Source organism: Homo sapiens, chromosome 13 (assembly GCF_000001405.40).
Source record: "Homo sapiens chromosome 13, GRCh38.p14 Primary Assembly".
NCBI lineage: Eukaryota > Metazoa > Chordata > Mammalia > Primates > Hominidae > Homo > Homo sapiens.
Window position 1 is genome coordinate 76,549,029 of NC_000013.11, and position 6,432 is coordinate 76,555,460.

A 6,432-nucleotide genomic window follows, 5' to 3' on the forward strand; every position below is an offset into this window, starting at 1 on the left:
CAATGGGCACTTAGCATACTCAACTTGAATCAGAAGAAACAGGGACTTACAAGGGAGAGTAGATTTTCATTTGTTACCAGGGCTCTGATTACATAATAGGTTAGTTTGGCACATTTAACATACCTAGTTAACTCAAGGCTATGTAAACCCCACCCCACACCCCCAAATTTTGATGCTGCATTTCATTTTCATGTCTACTCATTCAATATTGATTAAGCACCTATGTATGTGAAGTGATGTACCCAGCACTGGCAACATAATAAATATTTATTTTATGCCTGTTATGTTTATTCCTTTATTCAACACAGATTTTTGAGTATCTACTTTATACGAGACATGAAACTAATGGATAGATACATATTGGTAAACATAACAGCAGTTCTTGCTTTCATAAAGCTTAGAGTCTGAAGTTGGGAGAGGTGGCTAAAAGTTTTAACCAAAAATAAGGCAATCCAGTCATATGCAACAACATGGATGAACATGGAGGACATCAAGCCAAGTGAAACAAGCCATGCACAGAAAGACAAATACCACATGATCTCACTCATGCATGGAATGTAAAACAATCAAATTCATAGAAGCGGAGAGTAGAATGGTGATTACCTGAGACTGGGAGCAGGGACGAGGGACAGGTAAAGAGACTGGGGAGATGTTGGTAAATAAAATTTCAGTTAAGAGACATATATTAAAGAGATTTATGGTGACCATAGTTAATACCAATATATCACATGCTTGAAAATTGCTGAGAGTGTAGATTTTAAATGTTCTTACCACAAAAAAAAAATAAGTATATAAGGTAATGGGTGGGTTAAATAGCTTTATTTAGCCATTACACAATGTATAACGTAGGTCAAAACATCATGTTGCGCATCCTAAGTATATACAACTTTTACTTGTCAAAAAATTGCAAAAGAAAATAAATTGGCCAGATGCAGTGGCTCATGCCTGTAATCCCAGCACTTTGAGAGGCCGAGGCAGGTGGATTGCCTGAGCTCAGGAGTCTGAGACCAGCCTGGGCAACATGGTGAAACCCTGTCTCTACTAAAATACAAGAAAAGATTAGCCAGGCATGGCAGTGTGCACCTGTAGTCCCAGCTACTCAGGAGGCTGAGGCAGAATTGCTTGAACCCGGGAAGCAGAGGTTGCAGTGAGCCAAGATCGTGCCACTGCACTCCAGCCTGGGAGACAGAGCAAGACTCTGTCTCAAAAAAAAAGAAAAACAAAAGAAAAAAGAAATCAGCATGGGTGGATAGTAAATAGCTCATGTGATTGTCTCCATGTCTGCTCTCTTCCTGCTTCATCAGTTTTAGGAAGTAGCAGTCTCCGTGTTCATTAATAGATGGAAGTTATGAGGCACTATAGAAAACAGAAATTTATTACAAGACGTCTTGGCTTTTAGTCTAAAAGCCTATACTGGCCAGGCACGGTGGCTCATGCCTGTAATCCCAACACTTTGGGAGGCCAAGGCAGGTGGATCATCTGAGGTCAGGAGTTCGAGACCAGCCTGGCCAACATGGTGAAACCCCATCTCTACTAAAAATACAAAATTAGCTGGGTGTGGTGGAAGTTGCCTGTAATCCCAGCTACTCAGGAGGCTGAGGCAGGAGAATAGCTTGAACCCAGGAGGCGGAGGTTGCAGTGAGCCAAGATGGTGCCATTGCACTCCAGCCTGGGCAACAAGAGCGAAACTCCATCTCAATTAAAAAAAAAAAGTATGAAGTTTCAGTTACGCAAAATGAATAAGTTCCAGAGACCTCATATAGAGCATCATGACTACAGTTAACAATGCTGTATTGTATACTTGAAATGTGGTTAAAAGATAGATAGCTCTTAACTGTTCTTGACATGAGGAGGAGGAGACAGGAGAGGAGGACGAGGAAGAGGAGAAGGGAAAAAGAAGACAACAATGGTAACTTTGTGATGTAATGGATATGTGATAATTAGCTTGATTATGGTGATCATTTCATAATGTATACATATGTCAAAATATCAGGTTGCATATCTTAAATGTGTACAATTTTTATCAATTACACCTTGATAAAGCTGTTAAAGAATAATTCATACAATTATTTCTCTATTCAATATTTGTTAAGCATCTATGTGACAGAAAATGTTCCAAAATTATTTTCTGAAAAGGTAAGAGGTAGGCTATAATGTCAGTGAATGTACCTAAGACAAGGTGGTTTATGGGGTAGGCTCTAGACCTCTCAAGTCCACATAACCTCATCTTTAGAAACAAAATAACACAGCTGAAGAGGGATGCCTGGACCAGGTGATTTCCTGGAGACCACTCTCTACTGTATGTTTTGTGATAATAATAGCGACTGTTGTTGGCCATTCTTATCTGCTAGGTACTCTTCTGAGCACTTTACATGGATGAGCTCATTGAATCTCTGTAAACTCAGAGAAAGTATAATTTTCCCGGTGAAAGGCTGAAGCACAGAGAAACGTGCCTCAGGATAACCCAAGCCTTCACCAGATGTTAATCCACCCCCTTAGTCCTCAGTCTGATTTTGAGCTACACATATTTGTTTTTCCCTATAATTTTTGAAAATATTTTAATGTTATTTTTAACTCAGCAAGTGTCTAGGGAGAAGGTCCATCTCTCATTAGCTCTAATATATGAATGTCAATTTCTCCACCTAGGAACTCAAAGAACAATCAATACTCAGGTAATCTGAATCCCTTTATCCACACAGCTGTGTGAGCGCAAATGTCTTTGTCCCTTCAATGAGTACACTGAATTATGAATGCAAAATCTTCTTATAAGAAAAAATAGTCATCTTATGCTTTTCTGGCGACAGCTCCATTATAGAGTATCAGCAGGGAGTTAAATATTTTAATTAATGATTTTATCATACTAACTAGCTAAACATTTTTTCCTTTTTGTTCAGGGTGATTTTCTAAAGTTATCAAAAATTAATATGTTGTTTCCAAAGTAATTATTAACTTGAGTCTATAAGGAAGTAATATCTTAATTTACACCCATGAGATCATAAGACTTTTTAAATTTTTAACCCCTTTTCCATTTGCCCCAAGAATACTCACTGGAGGTGCTTGTGGCTGCAGCATTAACCCCAAGATAAATTTGCCAGAAAATATCTTGCTTTTATTATTTTCACATGGCTCTTGGAAACAAAAGACGTCATTCTATTTATAGCTTTCTGTTGTTAGTAGTGTTATTTCTATTTACAAAATATAGTAATTCCTCATTGCTAAAAATGTCAAATCTTAGAAAACGTAGCATTCCTACATGTGATGTTAATATCGTTCTTGAACATTTGTTGGCCAAAGATTCATTTGATGAATCAATTTTTCTGAAATAGACAATTCTGATGATTCAGACAATTCTGATGTTCATTCTGTTTAGAAATAACTCCAAGAACAGTCTGTATATTTTATTTTCACTTTGAAAATCAGTCAGATTTGCTTCACTCTCAAAGAGCATGTTTATGTAAAATTAAATAAGCGCTGGCAACAAGCTGCATTTTTTTTTTCTAAACAGGAAAATCAATGATGTTGTTCCTATGTCAGTGTACCCATTCTTTGCAAAACATTTCCTCCCTGATGAGAAGTGTTAAGAATGTAATCTAAATTATCTTATTGGCAATCACACACAGTTTTAAAATTGCCAAGTCCTCTTTCTCTGAGAATTTATTTTACAATATGAAAGGAAAACAACATCAATCACTTTCCTTTTCAATGTTTTCAAAACAAACACATACGCAATTTTCTATATAATAATTTATATGTATAACATTATATATTATATAAGATAAACATATATAATTTTTAAAATGCTTAAGTGTGCATATATCTAAAACATATATATAAAAATCATCACAAATTAAATGTAGATGTGATCATAATTCTGTCCCTTGGTAATTCAAAATTTAAATTCATCATTTCCTGGATTAGGCAAACATCTAGATAAGTAGAAACAATCATATATAGGGTGAGTCATTTTATGTAGTTAATGCAAAAACATAAAATGACAACATAATTTCTGGTAGGATTATAGGAGGTCGTTCTCCCTCTTTTTTAAACTGTCTCCACTTAATCAGAATCTGCAGAACTCAGAGACAGAGAGGAGCCTGAGACCTGGTATTTTTAACAATCTCATCTAATGACTCTTAAGACCCAACAATCTTGGAAAATATCAGTTGGGCTGATATTTTCTACTAAAACATCCTCCACTGGAGGAGGTGAGAATCCAGCTGGAAGAACCTGTTAATTATCTCTTTCACTCTATCACAGATTTTTCAGTTCCCTACTGTTACTTCAAAAGATATTTCTGGATGAAGGCACCAAGTGATGGGCTACAGTTTCTTAAAAATCATAGTGTCTGGGCCAGGCGCGGTGGCTCATGCCTGTAATCCCAGCACTTTAGGAGGCCGAGGTGGGTGGATTGCCTGAGCTCAGGAGTTCGCGACCAACCCGGCAACATGGTGAAACTTCTCTACTGAAATACAAAAACTTAGCTAGGACTGGCGGCGTGCGCCTGTAGTCCCAGCTACTTGGGAGGCTGAGGCAGGAGAATTGTTTGAGCCTGAGAGGCAGAGGTTCAAGATCACGCCACTGCACTCCAGCGTGGGTGACAGAGCGAGACTCCATCTCCAATTAAAAAAAAAAATCATACAACGTCTGGTTGGAAGGTAATTTAAAGGTCATTCAGCCCAGTCTTAGGTGATTTCCTAATCTTTCTTCAAATTTAGTGTTATCCTCTGGTCATCACCTCCTGCTCATCATCAATTCTTGATCTTAATGTATGTGCCAATCACATGAAGTTAACCTAATTCAATTAAAGAGAGTAATGTATTTTAAAGAAAGCAATATATTTCAGTAGATTCTCCAATCACCCAGCCAATCATGCTTAGCCTACCTTGCTCACATATTTTTGGATTGACAAGTGACTATCATGATTCATTTCTCATTTACGTACTTATTCATTCCCTAAGGCATAAAAAAAGTCAAGCCAAGGCTGCAGAATTACAGTTCCTTTGTTATTATCGTCAGGTGTTATCCAAGATACCATGTCTACAGAAAAAAAAAAAATAGAAATTATTATGAGAAAATTAAATTGGTTGTTGCTATAGCTATTTTAGGAAACAGTTCACATTAGTCTCCAAAATTGCATTTGCAACTAAACAATATTGCTTTTATTGATGGATTTCAGGGCAACAACAACCCTGAAAGATTTGGTCTGTGATTGAATTGCACGGTATAATTTCATTGTGTTTCAACAAAATTTTTTCTGTAATTCAGAGTCTGGGAGACATTAAGCAGTTATGTATTTTCTTTTTTTCCCCTCAAGTAATCAATTCAATTTGTGTGATCTTCATTTCCCAAGACTGTAACATCTATAAAAAGATTATTTCTGTGAGTATAAGATTCTGCATACTACAAAATGCCATCAGACATTTTTGAGGCCCATCTGTACAATTGTCACTTCAGTAACAGTGGTAGTAATGAGAATTGACTCTAGCAGAAAAAACAGATCTAAAAAAGGAAAAAGAAAGCCTGGATGAAAATAAGAAGTCTCCCAGCACTTTGGGAAGCTGAGGTGGGTTTATCACCTGAGGTCAGGAGTTCAAGACCAGCCTGGCCAACACAGTGAAACTCCATCTCTTCAAAAAAAATTTACAAAAATTAGCCGGGCGTGATGGTGGGTACCTGTAATCCCAGCTACTCAGGAGGCTGAGGTGGGAGAATCGCTTGAACCTGGGAGGTGGAGGTTGCAGTGGGCCGAGATCGCATCCTTGTACTCCAGTCTGGGTGACAGAGCGAGACTCTATCTCCAAAAAAAAAAAAAAAAAAAAAAGAAGTCTCAATAAATGTTTTCAAAGAGGCGAAATCTACTGGGTCTCACATTTTTCTAAATAGGATAAGAACAAGTTACTTCTTTTAATTCTTATTTTACACACTGACTAGACATGTGTCCTTGACCATAGAAGGGCTCAAAGATTATTTAGTGTCAAGCAGATGAGGAAATTATAGGCTACCTGATATTGATTGCCCACTCAACAATAACTGTTTATTAAGGGGCCAGTCCCCAGGGCACTGGACACACAGCAATGAGCAAAATAGACAAAGCTCTTTTTTACTCCTGAGCTTACATTCTAGTGAGAGGAGACAGAAAATGAGCAAACAAATAAATAAATGTTATCTCATATTGTGATAAGTACTGTGAAGAAAAGTAAGGTGGGCTAAAGCTACACGATGGTGAGGGAAGGGTGCTGGGGGCAGGGGTTTCTAATAAGGTGACGATTGAGCGAGGCCTGTATGAAATGAGGGGGGAAGCCACACAAGGGTGCACATGCCTTTGCTCTTCAACTAGAATTTATGCCCCTTGAGGGCAGAGACATACAGTGAATTTTTTTGGCCTCCCTTTCCCTCCTCTTAGGGCCTTGCACACAATAGAGGCTTTAAAAT

General features: G+C 37.7%; 1 long non-coding RNA gene across 1 annotated transcript; it reads right to left on the minus strand.

The window, feature by feature from the left end:
• Window positions 1-3,066: 3,066 nt before the first annotated feature.
• On the minus strand, window positions 3,067-5,711 carry LOC105370264 (uncharacterized). Its single transcript, XR_942095.1, has 3 exons — window positions 5,674-5,711; window positions 4,883-5,037; window positions 3,067-3,128 (listed from the first exon to the last, which is right to left on the minus strand). It is a non-coding gene; the product is annotated as an uncharacterized LOC105370264 (long non-coding RNA).
• Window positions 5,712-6,432: the final 721 nt, after the last annotated feature.